We start from the raw sequence: 20,031 nt of genomic DNA on the forward strand, positions 1-20,031 counted from the left end.
CAGCCCTGACAGTTCTGCTCCTTCCAAACTTGGCAGCCGTTCAAAGTGCTCTTTCATTTGAAATGCTGGAAGCCTGCCATGTGCAATGCAGATTTGCTGTGCCTGTGCGCAGAAGGAACTGATAAATGCCGTTGCAGTTGCCATGGGGACAGGAGGCTATCAGAATGGCCTTGTGATCCGCAGCCTCTCTGCGCGGCAGGCTCTCGTTCTCCCCCTCCCGCCCCTCCTCCCTCTAGTCAGTGAGATGGTGAAATAAATGTTCTGGAAAAAGGTTAACCCTCCCCGCTCTGGTTCCGAGGGTGAGAGGAGGTTAACCTCTAAGCACTTCCTTGGCCTTAAGTGCCAGCCCGGAGCACAGGTGTCAGCGCCGTCCTTGGGTGGGTCACCATCCTCCCGCTCTCCTCTTTCACACCCCCAGCTTTCTTCCTGCTCCCTGGGGGCTTTCACAAAGCGGTATTTTTAATAGAGGCTTTTCAGCAAGCTCAAGTGTAAGTCTTTGAGTCATCAAAACCCGGATGTAAACACAGCAGCCCTGCATTCTGCACAGTTTGCGTGTATTTTATCTTTTTAATAATATTTAGCTGGCAACTTAAAACTGCAAGGATGCCAGATATTTTAGCCAGCCACTTACATCATGCAGCATCCATCTTGGGGAGAGTGGTGGCGGGTCCTTTCCTTGTTCTCTTGCTCCCTGCCGCCTACCTGAGACCGCAGGAAATCTGGGTCTTTCTGAAGGCATCTTCTTGTGGTGTAGTCCCCTTGGAACCGCGGCCTTTAGAATGAACATGACATCACCTTGGGCAACAACGACAGAGGGTGTGTTCCTGTAGGAGACAAGACACGGGGAGATCCAAGGTGAAACAGATCTATCATTTACGCTGCGCCAATTTCAGGTGTGTGAGGGTGCACAGTCTGGATCATCAGCCCCCCATTTAGCACGAACTGCCGTTTGAAACACAGTCTGATTTAATGTACAGAAACAAAATAGCACATTCAGATTTGGTATATTTTCAGGCCTGTAATGCCAACACTCCGGGTGGCCTGTTTAATGGGGAAAAAATGAAATATTCCACTCCAGCCCAGGCCTATGGAAACCAAAGAGGTTTAGTGATTTATTTACATTGGGGGTAAAAACGGTGAGCAGTATTCCTTCTCGGCTCGCTACTTCCTGAAGGTTTCCTGAACCTAAACATTCGTTAACATCCCAGGAAGGGAACTTATTTTTCCTGTGGCTTTCAATATTTTCTGCTAAATATATTTCGGCACACTGTTTATCTTGGGCTTCAGCTTTCAGACCTTTATGCACTTTTAACACCTTGAGGCTGTTTCACTGAAAAATGGTGTATGTTAATTAAAGAGGACTTTATGTGCTGGGCATTAAGGCAGGGGGGATTTCTGTTTTGATCTGTCTGTATAATGAGGGGCTTCAGGATGAAACACAAGTCAGAGGCCTGTTAGCTTCGTGAAGCCCTTTTGACAAAGCGGGACCTTGAATGTGGGCCCTTGTATTCAAACACTTGAAGACCACAGAATGTTGAACTGAACGAAACATTTCTTCCTAAGTGCATGGTGAACATGGAGGCCAGGAGACGAGAAAGACTGAAAATGCCCCAAGTTCCTGGGGCTTAGCTGCAATTTCTTTGAACTTGACTGTCTCTGGGTGTCTGCTCGTGATTGTCACGGCAGCTCTGGCCAAGGCGATGCACTCTGTCTCGCTGGAATTTCCTGATTCCAAAGTAGCCCCTTCCAAATAAATAATCAACAAACGCCATCTGCTTCACCTTGCCAGCAGGCACAGAGCTGAAGGGTTAGCTAAAACCTACAATTTTTAGGAGCAGTAGGCTCTTGAGACATTTCAAGATAGGTTTCGACTTGGAATTAAACTAGAGTTAGAGGCAGAAATCAGGTGATTCAGAAAGCAACCCCCCCTCCCTCCCGCCAACTTCCCCAGACAGTCCAGGCAGCTGGGTTTTTGGCTCTCACAGCTGCTAAGCTTTGGCAAGCCAAAAGCATATTTCGTGGTGGTGATTCCTTTCCCAGGTTGACGGACATGTTTCTGTACTGAGCACAAGGCATGTTTCCTGACCGTGTGTGAATCAGAGGCTGCATTTTTATCCAGGGCTTCTGGTGACAGTTTTAAGCTGGATGAACAAAGCAGACCCTGACATGTCCCTGTCATCAAGGTCAAGAGATACAGAATCTATCCTAAATGTTCGCCACCTCTAGCCCAGATGTATTATATTTATTTATTTTTGTTTTGTTTTGTTTTTTGAGGCGGTGTCTTCCTCTGTCGCCCAGGCTGGAGTGCAGTGGGGCAGTCTCAGCTCACTGCAACCTCCGCCTCCCGGGTTCAAGCAATTCTCTTGCCTCAGCCTCCCGAGTAGCTGGGATTACAGGCACGTGCTATCATGCCTGGCTACTTTTTTTGTATTTTTAGTAGAGACAGGGTTTTGCCATGTTGGCCGGGCTGGTCTCGAACTCCTGACCTCAGGCGATCTGCCCTCCTCAGCTTCCCAAAGTTTCTGGGATTACAGGCATGAGCCACCACACCCGGCTATTTTTTTTTTAATCATGCCAAGAGCAGCCACCACCCCACAAGTCAATGGATGCCCATGTTCATGTGTCAGATGTTACCCTTCTCTCTCTCAGTGTTTTTGTAGTGTTTGCTTCTTTGTTGGCTTTGGTGAGAAGATTTACAAAAGCCATTTTGGACCCTTGAGTGCCTTTCCAGATCGAGGCAAGCTCCAAGATTCCAAACAGCCTTGACCTCGTCTGTGTCGCCCCATTATAGCAGGGATGATAACCGGAGGGGAGTCCTTGGTGTAGCCCCTCCATACCAGGGCCCGGAGAGCCAGCTTCCCAGAAATCCATGGATTAGGAAACTCTGTCGTGGGCCAGTTCAGGAGCGGCAGGGGGAACAACTCCCTTTTGTTTTGTTGTCTAGCATGTGACCAGAATGCTGCCAGCTAATTTTAACCCCACCAAAGTACTGCTGGGAAAAAAAAAAAAAAAACTATCTTGCATCTGGAGAGAGAAATGCTGTGGGCTGGATAAAAGCTTTTCAGCCTGTGTTCCTTCCTGTTTCAGTTTCCAAACTTGCATTATCGGTAACCTGAAAAATGATGAGTTTCACCAAATTCCTGGATGTTGTGCAAGAGGACAATGAGTCTATTTTGGGTGGTGTGAGTGTGTCTGGCATAGACACTGGGAACCATTGTTTTCAGGAGGGAGAATGTTTTGGGGTTTCCTGGTGCTTTCCTTATAGGGTCTCAAAGCCCCAAGGGGTACTGCTGGGGGGAGAAACCCTCCATGGCAACCATGGAGGCTGTGCTCTGCAAAAGACCTGGCTGAGAATTGGGTGGTTAGGCCAGTGGGTGGGGGTGAGGGGTGACGTGGCAGTGGTGGCTCCAGAGGTGTTAAAAGGTGCTCTGTAGGGAGTGTTTGAGGTAGAACGACTGGAGCAGGAAGAAGTGGGGAGAGAGAGATGCTTTCACTGTGGCTGGGCGGCCCCCTGGGACACAGGGCACCTCTTCTACTAATTCTCCATATCTGCTTTTAGCACCATGCGTGAATGGAGGATTATATGGAGTTCCCCACCCTGGATACTGGATTCTCAAAGCATACCTGTGGTGGTTCATTGTTGCTGTCTGGCTGGATGGCAGTTGTTGCTAGTGGAAAAGTCCAGAATCGCAAGACCCAGGAAATGAAATGGTTTGGGTGAGACAGCGTGTAGCTAGGCAGGTGCCGCTGACTGTTCTAGAACTAGATAGTAAGGTGGACTGCCGTTAACCTGAGTGTCCACAACGCAGTCTCGGAAGATAAGGTCAACACTGCAGCACTTGCTGCAACCTCAACCAGGAGAGCTTGGTGGCAGTTGTTCTGACAGCTGCAGAGGGCCTCAGCTGCCTAAAAAGCCATTTGCTCAGCCCTGCCCTGTCTGGCCAACTTCTGTGTATTTCAAGGATCCTCATGGGTCTCTGTGGCCCCCCTCTTTTCTGAGTCCTCAGGCAGACACCATCTTCGGAAGGGCAGGGAACCCCATGTTCTGCTTCTAACTGGCTGCTATAACCTGCCAGCAGTAGTCAAGATCAGTTGGCAAATCCCTAAATTAAGGTTCTGTTTATTTTGTTGTTTCAAAGGCTTGTTTTGAGCAAGATGTTGTGCTTTAATTAAAAAGATGAGAGATCATGAGTAAGTGAAAATATTTTTGAATCTTCACAAATAGGTTTGAATTTCATTTCTTGCGATTCACAGTAGGGGGTCAAGCTGATCAGCACTTTTATCTGTGAGACCATCTAGAAGGTCTTCTGTAAGTTAACAGCTGACTCTTCTGCACAATAGAATTGTAAAGGGAATCCTCTGTCAAGCATTTGTTCCTTGCTGCTTCTCTGTTTACAGATTTTAGCCAGCCTTCAGCTGTCATTAGGGCATATTCCTCATTTACCTTTCTAGCCAGAGGATTCCTAAATGTTTCATAATAGCTCCACAGCTGGAATGCAGCTGCTTGGGGTGGAGCAAACATAACTCCCTATAGGTCAGCGGGTGAGGGAGGGCAGGGAATCTTGGAAGGTTGGGAAAGTCCTTCTAAAGCCAGAGCTCAGGAATGAGTGGGGCCACTGGTGTGAAGACTTTCCAGATGGGGGAAGGAAGGGTTCATTTTCTGCCCTCTGGGTAGATTCCAAAAAATCGCTTTGGGGAGGCCAACTATTTTGAAATTGCCTTTAAAGAAGACAACACAAATGTTTAAACTGACCTGGAAAAGCCTTTCTTTTTCCTTTCCCTACAATCCTAGTCTGTTCCCTTGCACATTAATCAACAGAATTGTGTGCCCACGATTCTCCCCTCCCTCACCTCTTTTATTATTATTATCTTTGGTTCAGGAAACTTTTGGAAGCTTTCCCAGGCTGGAGCTATAGAATGATTCCAGGAAAATGCATAGGAGTTTCTGAGTTTTCTCTGGAGGGAGCTGAACATGTTTTTCAGAGAGACGAAGCTAGGGGCAACCAGGTCTTGTGCAAGAATGCAGCCACAAAAGAGGGCAGACAGTGCTAAAAAGATCTGTGGACATCCAAAAGTTCTGAAAGCAAGGTGTGGCTTAGTGAGCCTGCCTGTTCCCCACCCCTTCAGTGTTTTATTATGGCAGCTGCCATGATGTCAGTCCGTGAGCCCAAGCACCCCATCTCAGGGAGATATGCTGAGAACAGCTGGGTGCTGGGGTTTGGACTCTCAAGTTAGCAGCACTTGTAGTTTCTGCCAAAAGAACACTCCAAGATATAGATGGAAAAGTGCAGGGAGTCAATACTTACCCAGCAGGCAGGGGCCCCACCCAGACATGGAATGCAATGGACAAAAAAGTGTCCTTGGGCTATTGCTGCCAAGGGTGGTGCCAGCCTTCAGCCTGTGCCAGCGCAGATGCTTTTGAGCCCAGAAAACACACACAGAACTGCATGCACGCATATATCAGAAACATCTGTCTATACACAAAACCAGAAAGCTACTGGGGAGGTGTGCATAGATGAGGTACAAGAGCAAGGGGGACCTGCAGGACCCATCACTGATAGATGTGGCTTTTTTTTTTTTTTTTGAAACAGGGTGTTGCTCTGTCGCCCAAGCTGGAGTGCAGTGGCATGATCTGGCTCACTGCAATCTCCACCTCCTGGGCTTAAGTGATACTCCTGTTTCAGCCTCCCGAGTAGTTGGGATTACAGGCGCACGCCACCATGCCTGGCTAATTTTTGTATTTTTAGTAAAGATGGGGTTTCACCATTGGGCCAGGCTGGTCTCAAACTTCTGACCTCAGGTGATCTGCTCACCTTGGTCTCCCAAAGTACTGGGATTACAGGCGTGAGCCATTGCACCTGGCCAGATGTGACTCTTGAAAGCAAAGGCAGCTTATATTTCCTGGAAATACACTTCATTCAGGTTGGTTCACGGGCAAAGGAGACAGAAGTTGCTCCTTAAGGAGAATGCCCTGGGCGAGGGCAGAGCTGCCAGCCACTCTGCAATGGTAGGGCTGCTGCACCCACTGTGGCCAGGAGAACCTCAGGAGAGGTGAAACAATCAGAGGGTTGTGGTGATAGAAACTAGAGGACACAGCTCCCAGCTCTCCTCGCCCCGTTAGTTTGAAGACTGTTACCAGCAGCACTGTCGTGGTTCTGGCAGTAAAATCTCCTTCCTTTCTACCCAGGGACATACCGACTCCGGAAAGCATCTTTCCTACAGCAGGTTGGGAAGGTGCTTAACAGCCCAGACTTTAGGATATTAATAGCAATGATGATAGGCAAGGCTGACATTTATTGGGCACCTCTTATGTGTTGGACATTGTGCTGGCTGTTTCAATGCATTATCTCTTCTAATCCACACTTAATGAAGTGGATTCAGTTATCGTCCCCATTTTATAGATGAAGCAACTGAAACTCAGAAAGGTTAAATAACGTTATCTTAGGACACACAGCTAGTAAGTGTTGGCTGAAGTTTGAACTCAGGGTTGCCTGACTCTAGAGGCCTTATCAGACAGATCTGGGTTTGATTCTTGACTCATGAGACTTTGTGACCTGTGCCAAGTTTCTGCACCTCCAGGCTTCCTCATCTGTTTTCATTGTTAGACACATCAAATATTGGCAATTTCATGTAATTTAGCCTAAACCTGCCTTACAACATTGCTTTAAGGCAGGGTGTGGTGGCTCACGCCTGTAATCCTAGCACTTTGGGAGGCTAAGGAGGGTGGATCACGAGGTCAGGAGTTTGAGACCAGCCTGACCAACACGGTGAAACCCCGTCTCTACTAAAAATACAAAAATTAGCTGGGCGTGGTGGTGCGCACCTGTAATTTCAGCCTCTCAGGAGGCTGAAGCAGGAGAATCGCTTGAACCCAGGTGACAGAGGTTGCAGTGAGCCGAGATCGCACCACTGCACTCCAGCCTGGGCGACCGAGCGAGACTCCATCTCAAAAAAATAAAAAATAAAAATAAATAAATAAAAATTTTCCAGGCGCCTTACAGGATCAAGACAAACTCCTTAGCTTGGAACACAAGGCCTCTGGGAAATTGCCTCCAATTCCTCTTTTTGCCTCTTCCTTTTTCTTAATTTCTAACCACATTGAATTCCTCTTGTTCCTTAAACACAATATGAACTTTGAAGCCCCGTGCCTTTACGGGGCTCTTTTCTCTACCTACAAAGAATGTTTTCTCCCTCTTGTTTTTTGAGCAAACTTCTATGCATCCTTCAAAACCCAGCTCAGTTTTTACCTTTCCTGTGAAAATAGTCTCTGGCATTTCCCAGCTCTGTGCTTCAATTGCAATCTGCATTTATCACAAAGAGTTGTAGTTGGCTGGGCGTGGTGGCTCACGCCTGTAATCCTAGCACTTTGGGAGGCTGAGGCAGATGGATCACCTGAGGTCAAGAGTTCGAGACCAGCCTGGCCGACATGGTGAAACCCCGTCTCTACTAAAAATACAAAAATTAGCCGGGTGTGGGGCGCCTGTAATTCCAGCTACTCGGGAGGCAGAGGCAGGAGAATCGCTTGAACCCCGGGGCGGAGGTTGCAGTGAGCTGAGATCGCACTATTTCACCCCAGCCTGGGAGAAAGAGTGAGATTCTGTCTCAAAAAAAAAAAAAAAAAAAAAGTTGTAGTTATCTGTTCACACTGCCTCACTGGGGACTCAATGAAGTTCAATGCTGGGGCCATTCTATCCCGAATGCCTCTAGAAGCCCCTAAATAAAGGCTAGTCAATTAAACATGCCTAAATATACATTTTTATGACGTAATTTTATTGTCACCAAAATAATATGGAAGTGTATGTATGTATGTACTATTTATACCCTTCCTGTCCCAGCAAAATCTTGGAGCATTCTACTCAGAAGTAGAGATATAATAGTGCTTAGTATATCATGCAGTAGAGTTGGGGCTTTGGAATCAAGTATTTCTGGGTTGAAATCGTAACTTGGTCTCTTACTGTGCCATTAAGTCATTACTTTATCTCAGCCTCAGTTTTCCCACCTGTAAAATGAAGATAACATTAATTACCCATGAGGCAGACACTGTTGATTGCTAAAAAGTAGTCACTCCTGCTTTCTTCCTTAGTGCCCTGAATTTGTTTCAGGAGTCCCACACCCCTCAGTTCCACGTGCCTTGGGGGGAAATCCCAATTAGTCTGAGCTAATCTTAGCATCCCATCCCCCTTGCTAACACTTTGGGGATGGATCTGTGACCGAGTTCTGGTGAATAAGACATGGGAGTTGGGGGCTTGTTTTAGGAAATATTTTCATATTTTCTCAATCTTTTTTTTTTTTTCTTTTTTTTTTTTTTTGAGACGGAGTCTTGCTCTGCCGCCCAGGCTGGAGTGCAGTGGCGCGATCTCCGCTCACTGCAAGCACTGCCTCCCGGGTTCACGCGGTTCTCCTGCCTCAGCCTCCCGAGTAGCTGGGACGACAGGCGCCCGCCACCACGCCCGGCTAATTTTTTGTATTTTTAGTAGAGACGGTGTTTCGCCGTGTTAGCCAGGATGGTCTCGATCTGCTGACCTCGTGATCCGCCCGCTTCGGCCTCCCAAAGTGCTGGGATTACAGGCGTGAGCCACCGCGCCTGGCCATATTTTCTCAATCTTAAAACATGAGAGAGAGAGAAACAATTGTCTTTCTTTCTTTTTTTTTTTTTTTTTTTTTTTTTTTTTTTGAGACACAGTCTCACTCTGTCACCCAGGCTGGAGTGAAGTGGCGGGATCTCAGCTCACTGCAACCTCCACCTCTGGGGCTCAAGCGATTCTTCTGCCTCAGCCTCCCAAGTAGCTGGGATTACAGGCGCCTGCCACCATGCCCAGCTAATTTTTGTATTTTTAGTAGAGACAGGGTTTTACCATGTTGGCCAGGCTGGTCTCGAATTCCCGACCTCAGGTAATCCACCCACCTCGGCCTCCCAAAATGGTGGGATTACAGGCATGAGCCACCGCGCCCAGCCAAACAATTGTCTTTCTGTAGCTGTATGTGTGTCTGCAGTGATGATGGCTGGGGCTACAGCAGCCATCTTGCTATGATGAAGGCAGCCATTCAGAGAACTAAGTCAACACACTAAAGATGATAGAATGGAGGCCGGGTGCGGTGGCTCACGCCTGTAATCCCAGCACTTTGGGAGGCCGAGGTGGGCAGATCACGAGGTCAGGATATCGAGACCATCCTGGCTAACATGGTGAAACCCCGTCTCTACTAAAAATACAAAAAATTAGCCGGGCATGGTGGCGGGCCCCTGTAGTCCCAGCTGAGGCCGAGGCAGGAGAATGGCGTGAACCCGGAAGGCGGAGCTTGCAGTGAGCGGAGATCGCGCTACTGCACTCCAACGTAGGCAACAGAGCGAGACTCCGTCTCAAAAAAAAAAAAAAAAAAAAAAAAAAAAAAGAGAGATGATAGAATGGAAGGAAATGTGGAAAGAACATTAGTCTGGTGGCACAGTTCAGCAGCTGGATTACTCTGCCCTGGAGCCACCCACATCTGGACTATTTCCATCAATTCCTTCATTGTTCAGTGAGGGACCCCTGGCTCGATCCAGTGGAACCAAGGTTTCTGTGACTTGCAGCCAAAAGCATCCTAACAATCAACTTCGCAGGGTTGCTGTGATGACTAAATAAAGTAAAATTGGCCAGGCGAGGTAGCTCATGCCTATAATCCCAGCACTTTGGGAGGCTGAGGCGGGTGGATCACCTGAGGTCGGGAGTTCTAGGCCAGCCTGGCCAACATGGTGAAACCCCGTCTCTACTAAAAATATAAAAATTAGCTGGGCATGCTGATGGGCACCAGTAATCCCAGCTACTTGGGAGGCTGAGGCAGGAGAATCACTTGAACCTGGGAGGCAGAGGTTGCAGTGAGCAGAGACCACGCCATTGCACTCCAGCCTGGGCAACAAGAGGAAAACTCTGTCTAAAAAAAAAAAAAAAAAAATTGAAAAAGTGCCTGACAGGGTCTGGCACATAGTAGGTTCTCAAAGATTGAAGACTCTCCTGCTGAGATGTTCTGGGATGAATGCACGAATGACTATGAAGAGTGGTCCAGAGAACATGGCAGATGGTAATAAAGGTTAGAGCAGTTCAGAAGTGGGTGGGTGCTAGAACGATGAAGATGACAATGACGATGAAATTCAAACATTATGTTAGTAAATGTCCTAATGGAACTTCTTGGGGCTGTAACAATGGTTCTCCTTTTTACTTCTAATGCCTTTTCTTACCCGGCTCAGAATTAGACATTGCATATACAGGCTTTTCTAATTGTAAGTGGCCACGCTTGTACAATTAGGGTGGTCCTTAATTACCCTGGGGCATGGAAGCCCTGCTACAGGATAAAGGCAAGAGTGTACTTTTTTTTTTTTTTTTTTTTTTTTGAGACAGAGTCTTGCTCTGTCACTCAGGCTGGAGTGTAGTGGCACGATCTCTGCTCACTGCAACTTCCACCTCCCAGGCTCAAGCGATGTTGTGCCTCAGACTCCCAAGTATCTGGGATTACAGGCGTGTGACACCATCCGGCTAATTTTTGTATTTTTAGTAGAGACGAGATTTTGCTATGTTGGCCAGGCTGGTCTCGAACTCCTGGCCTCAAGTGATCCACCCTCCTCATCCTCCCAAAGTGCTGGGATTACAGGAATGAACCACTGAGCCCAGACTTTAGCGTATAATTTGTAGCTCCAGGAGGAGCCAAGATTTGAAAGCAGAACCATCATACCCACACAACGTAAAGCAGGGCCTTTGACTTGCCAAAAGCACACCAAGTCCGTCCTCCCTGAGAGACCCAGAGAAGCCCAGCAGACCTCTCCAGCTCGGGTGGGGCTGCCTCTGGGGGCTGCCTGGCTTTTGGCCAGCTGACCAGGCCATGGAGTGTTGCTCCCTGCCAGCCCCACAGCCCTTTCGAACCTCGTTCCAGGAGAGCTCAGCCACACCAGTGTCTGCCAGACTCATGTCCGTCCAGCTGTGTGGGCGGCCCTGGCAGCAGGGGACAGGGCAGGGTTTGTGCAAGGACATTGTGGCACCCACAGCAGGGCGTGGGAGAGGCGGTGGCTCACTTCAGGGACGAGTCAGGAAGGAACGTGGAAGAGATGGGGAGCAGAAGCCACAAACTCAAGGCAGCCTCAGCTGCCTTCTCAAAGGCCGCCTTCACCTTAGAAGCTTGTTCCAGGGTCTCCTTTCCTGCTTGCCCCTCCCCTGTTGAGCTGGGTTCAGCACAGCCCTGCTTCGATGCTCAATTCTTTTTTTTTTTTTTTTTTTTTTTTGGCAACAGAGTTTCGCTCTTTCGCCCAGGCTGGAGTGAAGTGGCGTGATCTCATCTCACTGCAACCTCTGCCTCCCGGGTTCAAGTGATTCTCCTGCCTCAGCCTCCCAAGTAGCTGGGACTACAGGCATGCACCACCACGCCCGGCTAATTTTATAATTTTAGTAGAGACGGGGTTTCACCATGTTGGCCAGGCTGGTCTCAAACTCCCGACCTCAGGTGATCCACCCACCTCAGCCTCCCAAAGTGCTGGGATTACAGGCATAAGTCACCGCGCCTGGCCACTGACGCTCAAGTCTGTTCACCAAATCTTTATTGAGAATACTTTATGTAAGATGCCATATTCCTCCTGGCTAATGGTGGGGTGGGGTGAGAGATACCGAGAGCAAGATCAGAGTAGAAAGGACCTCAGAATGGCCTTTAAACTTGGGTGCCTCAGAACTCCAAAGCCCAAGTATTTAAGAAAGAAAAAAAGACTGCTGCAGTTTAATCTAGGGCAGGGATAGGGTCCTGTCCACTCTGCCTTGAGTCAGAGACTCCATGGATAACATCCAAACAACCCTGACCCAGACCAGGGGGGGATATAGAAGCCCAGAGAGGTGAAATGACCTCCCTCAGTCACACAGCAAGTTGGAGGCCCACTCAGGTTCAAAGTCAAGCCCAGTGCCTCGTCCATTGTACTGTCCTACCCCTTGGCACTTGTTTCAGAGATCAGCTGCGGAGATGGGGCGAGTCACCCAGGAACAGACAGACACACTTGCTACAGACTAAAGAGAACAAGTGGTTCTAACTCAGGATGGCAAAGGCTCCCCGGAAGAGGGGCAGGGAGCCGGGCCTAGGGCAGCATGGGCAGGATTGCTCATGGCACATGGCAGGGGTGGGGAGAGAGGTGGATGTGAGGAAGGAGGCAATTCCAGGCCTCAGAGAACATGATCTGCTAGCGCCTGAAGAAAGACTGGCAATCCAGAGAGCTGGGTTCCAGCCCTGGCTCTGCCGTGACAAGCCCCTGGGCCAGGGGCCTCCCCTTTGGGCCAGTTTCCTTGCATGTAAAATGGCAAAGAGGGTGGGCTAGTTGGCCCTACTGTGACATGCTAGGAAGCCTTCTCTCCTCCCACCACCACCAACACCACCCAGGACACTCCCCAGTGTGTGCCAGGTGTCTGGAATTGACACCAGGAGGGAGTGTCCCTGGCTGCCCTGTGGCACAGCATGGAGCTGGCAGGCCTGCCCAAGGTGTCTGCCCAGAGCTCTGGGAAACAGTGACAAACCATGAGGAGGCAGGAACTGGAGAAGAACCCGGGCAGGAGCCATTCCTCTTCTGAGAAGTGGTCTTTCCCATCTGGCCCTCTCCAGAAGCTCAGGCCTCTGCCAGGACTTGTTAGGGTCCCACCACCCCAAAGAGGCGAGGCCTCAAGGGTAGAGGGGTACGAGTCCCTGAACAACCCCAAGCCTCAGTATTCTCATTTGTAAAATGGGTAAAAATAGCACTTTAGTAGTCTCATTTGTAAAATTGATATCAGTACCTCAGATGATGAAATGAGATAATGCGTGTCAAGGGCCTAGCACAGCGCCTGGTGTAGGAGCCACACGTCCCAGAGGGCTGCCTGCTGGGGAAGACCGCATAATTTGAAGCCTCCTGACATAAAACAGGCTGGTTGAGGGAGGGCCCTTTCTGTCTAATACACCACTCGTCGGGACAGGATTGCAAAGGGGGCCTGGGGAGGTGAGCCCACTGGAAAACAATGTGTGCGCGCCCCCTGCTGGCTGCGAGCAGAGGTCCCGCCTGTCCGCTGGGGGTCTTCAGGTGGTTCGTGTTAGCACCACCTGCTGCTGCCGGGTCAATTGACCCAATATTCACAGATCACCCCCCAGGTGTCAGGTACCCCGCCAGGCTTTGGGAGGGATGCAAAATGAGTGAAAGATAAGCTAGGTTTTTGGAGCCAACTAGTTTTGGTGTCGACCACGCATGGGTTCAAGCCCAGAGACTATCAATATCTGCTTGAATGTTCATTCATTCAACAGAAATGGTTCTGCATCGGGATATAGCAATGAACAAAGGTCCTGGCATCGTGGACTTGCGGTAATCTTAGACAGAGAACATAATCCCTCAGAGCTTCAGGTTCTCATCTGTAGCATGGAAGACTTCTCTACTCCTTCCCCTCAAACCAGAGGGTAGAGACCCTGGGTATGGATTTCAAGGTCGCTGTCATTAGTAGGAACTAACAGTCACCACCAACAGCCATCTCTTCTCAAAGGAAACCTCATCCCTTTGAGCCTGGGCTGTCATTCATTTGGTTCATTCTGAAGGGACCCTGTCATGCCAATCTCCCCAGGCTCTCCATCTACCAGGAACCCCGGAAGACCCCCGCCCCAAGCCATTCTGCTCCAGGGCAATGATAGAGCCCTAACCTCTAATGAGAGGTCATCAGAGTGGATGTGGGAGGATCGTGCAGTTACCCTGCAACTTTCTCTCCAGGTGACACATGGGTATTTCTCCTTAAATTAATTGGACTGGTTAGCCTCAGTGCCAACCTGGTAGGAACCATCGCCTGCCCGGATTCCTGTTCTCCCCCAGACCACTGGGCAAATCCTTCATGGTTGGTAGGGCTTTAAGGGCTAGAAGAGGATAGGAAATATGTTCTTGATGACTTTTTATTAACATCCAATTTTCTACTCCCCATGGCCTTCATTACACACACACACACACACACACACACACACACACACACACACACAGCAAAGGTGAGGATTGGAAGCCAGTTGATGCTGGAGGAATGCTTTAACACCCCTATCAACACACAACCCAAGTCGGGTCCAGCTTATTCTTTCAAGATGTCCACAGTTTCACCCCACGCTCAGGATATGTATGGGTGCGTGTGCTTTTGTACACACTCATATAGCAAACTTTGAGCTATAGCCAGGTACTAGGGCAATATTAGTAAACAAAATAGACAAACACAAACACAAAATCCTGCCCCACTGGAGCATACATTTGTGTGGGGGGGGCAGGGGGGAGTCTGGGATAGAAAAGTAAATAAGCAAGTAACATAAACATGATGTTTGAGGGTAATATGTGTTATGGAGAAAACTAAAGCAAAAAAGAGGGTGCCCCAAAATGAGTGGGGGATTTTAAATGGGGTGGTCAGGGAACGTCTCATTGAAAAAGTAACATTTAAATAAAGACCAAAAGGAGATGAGAGAGTGAGCTATGAAGCTATTTGGTAGAAGAGGGTTCCAGGCAGAAGAAATGGCAAACTCAAAGATACTGAAGCATGGTCAGAGAGGCTGTCCTAGTGGGAACAAGGAGAGAGGCGATGGGAAGAGGCAGGAGGTGTTGGGCTCTATTATTAATAAATTATGGTCAGGGGTCCCCCAATCCCCTTTTCCAACCAATATAGTTAATTTCATCCCTTTTCTTAAAGTTTTGAAACTAATACCTGTCTTGTAAACAAGCCATGACAAAGCTCTATTTAGAGAAATATGGTGGGGAGAGGCTAATCAGGGTAGATTTCCTGGAGAGGGAGGTTGGCTGACTTCTTCTCTTTTCAGGTGAAGAAACCAAGACTCAGAGACAGTCAATAACTTGCCTAAGGTCACAAAGCTAGAAACCGACAGAGAAGGGCTTACATCCATGCTTATCTGGTTTAGAAGCCACTGCTCTTAGCCAGGGTGCTGCCATGGTGACAGGCCATTTCCATTAGAGGAGAATGATGGCTGTTCATCTGAGGACCTGGAACAACACGGTCTGCGTGGCCATCACTCAGTCAGGGCAGAGCATGGGTACAGAATCGTGGCATTGTTTGGCTGAGAATCATAGATTCTCAGTGAAGCACAGGCAAGGTGCCAGGCCCCAGGCATGGGGTTTTAGATGCATGATCTCATTTAACTCTCATTTTACAGATCAGGAAATTGAGGCCTGTCACGCTTCCTGATCTTGTGTGTATCAGAACAAGATCATAACAATTGACTTTCAAAAATTAGTGGCTTAAGGCCAGGCACAGTGGCTCACGCCTACAATCCCAGCACTTTGGGAGGCCGAGGCGGGCGGATCACCTGAGGTCAGGAGTTCAAGACCAGCCTGGCTAATATGGTGAAACCCCATCTCTACTAAAAATACAAAAATTAGCCAGATGTGGTGGCAGGGCCTCTAGTCCCAGCTTCTTGGGGCTGAGGTAGGAAAATCACTTGAACCTGGGAAGTGGAGGTTGCAGTGAGCCAAGATTGCGCCACTGCACTCTAGCCTGGAAGACAGAGCAAGACTCCATCTCAAAAAAAAATAAATAAATAAAAAATAAAAAAGGAAAAAGTAAATAAAAATTAGTGGCTTAAAACAGCAATTTATTATTTCTCATGATTTTGTGAGTCAGGAATTTGGGCAGGGCTTGGCTGGGTGGTTCTTCTGCTCCATGTGGTGTCAGCTGGGGTCACTCAGCTGCATTCAGCTGGCAGCTGGACTGGGAGGGAAGGGCCAAGAAGGCGTCACTTACAGGCCTGGCACCTCAGCGCTCCTCTGCATGGCCTCTCCACGTGGTCAGCATGGTGGTTTCAGGTCAACTGGATTAATTACATGGCAGCTGGGAATTATATTTCATCCAAGGGAATGAAAGCAGAAGCTGCCAGACTTAGGGACTAGCCCTGAAGTTGGGACAGTGTCACTTCCACCACTTCTACTGCCCCAAGCAAGACACCAGATCAGCCCAGATTCAATGGCAATGATGTTTTGCAGCCTGGCTGCTCCATCACAAGCACTCCTTGCTCTGGCTCCCTCTTCTCCCATCCTTTGCCCAATCCAATATAGCAATGGCAATGATGTTTTTATTTGTTTGTTTTGTTTTTTTGAGACAGAATCTTGCTTTATCACCTAGGCTGGAGTGCAGTGGCACGATCTTGGCTCACTGCAACATCCGCCTCCTGGGTTCAAGTGATTTTCCTGCCTCAGCCTCCCGAGTAGCTGGGATTACAGGTGCCCGCCACCACACCCAGCTAATTTTTATAGTTTTAGTAGAGATAGGATTTTACCATGTTGGCCAGGCTGGTCTCAAACTCTCCACCTCAGGTGATCCACCTCCCTCAGCCTCCCAAAGTGCTGGGATTACAGGCGTGAGCCACCATGCCCGGCCTTTATTTTTGTTTTTAATTTAATTTAATTTTTTGTGAGACAGGGTCTCACTCTGTTGCCCAGGCTGGAGCGCAGTGGCACGATGACAGCTCACTGCGGCTTCGATCTCCTGGGCTTACACAGTCCTCCTGCCTCAGCCCGAGTAGCTGAGACCACAGGTGTGCTCCATAGCACCAGGCTTATTTATGTATTTATTTATTTAGTAGAGATGGGGTCTCCCTATGTTGCCCAGGCTTTGTTGTTCTTTGACTTGCTTCTTTCACCTATCCATATATCCTGGCAGGGTCAGGAGCAGGGTGAGGCAAGCAGGATCCTCTGTGACCCAGAGAATGGCCCTCTTGCACTCTGTGCCCTTTCTCAGTACACGAAGGTCTGCCTCATTCTTGTTTTTTTTTTTTGGAGACAGAGTCTTGCTCTGTCACCCAGGCTGGAGTGCAGTGGCGCGATCTCTGCCCACTGCAATCTCCGCCTCCCGGGTTCACGCCATTCTTCTGCCTTAGCCTCCCCAGCAGCTGGGACTACAGGTGCATGCCACCACGCCCGGCTAATTTTTGTATTTTTAGTAGAGACGGGGTTTCACCGTGTTAGCCAGGATGGTCTTGATCTCCTGACCTCGTGATCCGCCCTCCTCGGCCTCCCAAAGTGCTGGGATTACAGGCATGAGCCACCGCGCCCGGCCAGCCTCATTCTTTTTAACTCTTGCATAGTATTCTATGGTAGAAATGGAACACCATTAACCATTTCCCTCTTGACGAACCTTTAGGTTGTTTTCAGTTTTTGGCTATTACTAAAATGCTGTCTTGAAATCCTTGTAGATGTCTTTTTGTGCATGTAGTAGTTATATAATTTTTACTTCAGTATATATGCATTTTATTTTTTATTATCTTTTATGGAGACAGGGTCTCACTTCCTTGCCCGGGCTGGAGTGCAGTGCTGTGATCATGGCTCACTGCATCCTCCTCCTTTTGGGCTCAAGTGATCCTCCCACCTCAGCCTCATGAGTAGCCGGGACCACAGGCATGTGCCACCATGTCTGGCTAATTTTTTGTAGAGATGGTGTTTCACTCTATTGCCCAGGCTGATCTCAAACTCCTGGACTCACGTGATCTGCCCACCTCAGCCTCCCAAAGTGTTGGGATTACAGGCATGAGCCACCATGCCTGGCCAATGATGTTTTTAAATGCTGCTAATAATAACGTACAAAATTCAGAAAATATAGATAAATAAAAATAGGAAACAAAAACCACCATATACCACGGCCTAGAGACAATCGGAGGTCCCTTCAATACCTACACTGGAGGAGGAAAGAAGCCCCCTCCCCCGGAGAATCTTCCACCCATTGCAGGGGTCTGCTGTGATTTGGGCTCTGTTCTGCTGACAAGGTGGAGCCTGTCATCTATCCCAGACAGAATTATTGCCTCAGATTACATGGTTGATTATCAATTACTTGTGTTCGTATGAGAGCATGTGTGCGTGTGTGCATAAGTGTCTTTGCAAATCATTAAGGGTCGTAATTCTGGATTATCATTGATTAACGTGAGGGAGGCCTGGTACCTCCAGCAGCCGGGATGGCAGGCCCGCAATTATGTCCCAGCTGATCAGTAATTGGCGTATCACAAGATGATTTCTCTCTCGGCTGCCTACCCCCAGCCTCTCCTGTCGGCTTCACAATTAGCACCATTGCTCATTCCCTTCCAGCTCAGGCCAAATGCAGAAGCCTGCTTTCTGGCAAGGGGAAGCCGTGGGGCTGTCTTGAAGACCACCACCCAAATAGAGTGGGGATGGTGGTGTGGGGTCGGTGGCAGAGGCACAATGCGGGGGAGTGGTGCCGGCTTGAACTCTAGCTTCCTGATGTCTGGTGCTGCCTTTGTGTCTTATCCTGCTTCCCAGCAAGCTCAGGCACCATTGACCCACCCTCATTGCATGGATGGGGAAACTGAGAACCAGAGAAGGAATATGGCAAATTAGAAAAAAAAAAAACATCCAAAAGCAATAATTCAGGGCAACATGGCCACACGGGTCCAAGCCCAAAGAGCCCAGGAGGAAGCAGAGCTATAGAAGGAGCACCCCGACCATCACTCCTATCCTCGGGAAGCTGTCAGGTCGCCACTGGTTGTGTCAGTTTCCTTGAGCAACACAAGCTTTTAGCCTCCAGAGATTGCACATAGATGCACAGAGCTCCCCGGGGTGGGGAGGAAGCGTACTGAGGAATGTGCAGGTGTACTCCCTGCTGGATTATGAAAACGGCTTCCTCATGGTTCTCCCCACTTCCAGACTGGGCCCCCAATCTATCCTCCTGTCCAGCCTGCACAACGAACTCCCTGTTGCTCTCAGTTCAGGTCTTCTCGTGCCCTCTTTTGCCCTAGCCTGGTTGATCCATCACAGACCCCTCCTTGTCCTGGCTCCCTTATCTCCTGTCCTTTGCCCAATCTGATCCCTCCCCCTAAAGCCCCTGTCCCCTCCTCCCACACTCTTTTGGCTTGGAGCACACACCCTTGGGGGAGGTTTTAATACAGGTGCCCCCACTTGGGCTCCACTCCTGAGAAAGGAATTCTGACCTCCCTAGGAACCAGCAGATACAGAAGCAAAAACTTTAGGGATGGCTTTGGAGGCGTGTGAAAGGATGGAGAAGGCAGGGCTGTTCCAGAAACCTTCCACATAAAAGACTCTCCCATGGCTGCAAAGCCACCAGGCAGTTTGTTTCTGAGCCTTGCAGCTGTCTTGGCCATTTTCATTTTTATCTACTTAGGTTGGTCAGCGGGTCATGGCAAGCAGGAGACACAATGCTAATGACTCCGGCTCCACGTGGCGACCATTCAGGAAAAAGCTGCAATGTTCTCTCTGCCACATTAATCAGAGAAACACATCAAGAGTTGTTGCGTGGAGACAGCTTTCCTCCCAGTACTCGCCCTGCATACTAATCACCACCCCCTCCTGGCGGTGAGTCAGCTCCAAACCAGGCCGGTGGTGGTAAGGGAAGGCCAGAAACACCAGCTCCATCCACGTGGGGAGCAGCTGGAGGAGCGGGAGCCAGGCCCTCCACCGCCCAACATGCACTGTGTGTGACCATCATGGAGGCCTGGTAGGTGGGGATGGAGCACTCTGGGAAAGTTCATCCAAACCCAAATCTGGGCTACTTCCTTGTGTCTAGGTCTTGCCCAAGTCGACCAGAGGAAATGCTCCAGAAGCTGATCCCTAGACAGAGCCTTTGTTTTTTTGTTTTGTTTCGTTTTGTTTTGTTTTGAGACAGACCCTTGCTCTTTCGCCCAGGCTGGAGTGCAGTGGCGCGATCTCGGCTCACTGCAACTTCCGCCTCCTGCATTCATGCAATTCTCCTCCCTCAGCCTCCCAAGTAGCTGGGACTACAGGCATGCACCACCACGCCCAGCTAATTTTTGTATTTTTAGTAGAGACGGGGTTTCTCCATGTTGGCCAGGCTAGTCTCAAACTCCTCACCTCAGGTGATCCACCTGCCTCAGTCTCCCAAAATACTGGGCTTACAGGTGTGATCCACCGTTCCTGGCCCAGGGTCTTATTAAAATAAAGCAAGCGGGGCCTCCGTGCCAGGCACTTTGGTAACAATTAAGCCATCACCTTGGATAGTATTTCACATGTGGTAGGCAGAAAAGGAAGCCCTCTAGACAAATTAGCTCATTTAATCCTCG

General features: G+C 49.1%; 1 long non-coding RNA gene across 1 annotated transcript in view, besides 7 other annotated features; it reads left to right on the forward strand.

Annotated features, from left to right (window-relative positions):
• Nucleotides 99-830: an enhancer, noted in NCBI's record as "H3K27ac-H3K4me1 hESC enhancer chr14:77506864-77507595 (GRCh37/hg19 assembly coordinates)". NCBI's record gives its function as "activates a minimal SCP1, AML or CMV promoter by ChIP-STARR-seq in primed H9 embryonic stem cells {active_cell/tissue: H9 hESC(primed)}" and the evidence as "EXISTENCE:reporter gene assay evidence [ECO:0000049][PMID:30033119]".
• Nucleotides 99-4,645: a biological region, named in NCBI's record as "VISTA enhancer hs1903".
• Nucleotides 106-4,588: an enhancer, noted in NCBI's record as "VISTA enhancer hs1903". NCBI's record gives its function as "enhancer in: somite[7/16] | melanocytes[12/16]" and the evidence as "EXISTENCE:transgenic organism evidence [ECO:0001131][PMID:17130149]".
• Nucleotides 240-329: an enhancer, noted in NCBI's record as "active region_8787". NCBI's record gives its function as "activates an Ori minimal core promoter by ATAC-STARR-seq in GM12878 lymphoblastoid cells {active_cell/tissue: GM12878}" and the evidence as "EXISTENCE:reporter gene assay evidence [ECO:0000049][PMID:35858748]".
• LINC02288 (long intergenic non-protein coding RNA 2288) overlaps nt 627-20,031 on the forward strand; it is a 28,455-nt gene continuing 9,050 nt past the window's right edge. The window contains exons 1-2 of the long non-coding RNA NR_110554.1: nt 627-855; nt 19,116-19,306. This is a non-coding gene — a long non-coding RNA (long intergenic non-protein coding RNA 2288). The remainder of the gene's footprint in view (nt 856-19,115; nt 19,307-20,031) is intronic.
• Nucleotides 4,135-4,645: an enhancer, noted in NCBI's record as "NANOG hESC enhancer chr14:77510900-77511410 (GRCh37/hg19 assembly coordinates)". NCBI's record gives its function as "activates a minimal SCP1, AML or CMV promoter by ChIP-STARR-seq in naive H9 embryonic stem cells {active_cell/tissue: H9 hESC(naive)}" and the evidence as "EXISTENCE:reporter gene assay evidence [ECO:0000049][PMID:30033119]".
• Nucleotides 12,604-13,167: an enhancer, noted in NCBI's record as "H3K27ac-H3K4me1 hESC enhancer chr14:77519369-77519932 (GRCh37/hg19 assembly coordinates)". NCBI's record gives its function as "activates a minimal SCP1, AML or CMV promoter by ChIP-STARR-seq in primed H9 embryonic stem cells {active_cell/tissue: H9 hESC(primed)}" and the evidence as "EXISTENCE:reporter gene assay evidence [ECO:0000049][PMID:30033119]".
• Nucleotides 12,979-13,028: a silencer, noted in NCBI's record as "silent region_5965". NCBI's record gives its function as "represses an Ori minimal core promoter by ATAC-STARR-seq in GM12878 lymphoblastoid cells {active_cell/tissue: GM12878}" and the evidence as "EXISTENCE:reporter gene assay evidence [ECO:0000049][PMID:35858748]".

The sequence above is a fragment of the Homo sapiens genome, chromosome 14, assembly GCF_000001405.40.
Source record: "Homo sapiens chromosome 14, GRCh38.p14 Primary Assembly".
Taxonomy (NCBI): domain Eukaryota; kingdom Metazoa; phylum Chordata; class Mammalia; order Primates; family Hominidae; genus Homo; species Homo sapiens.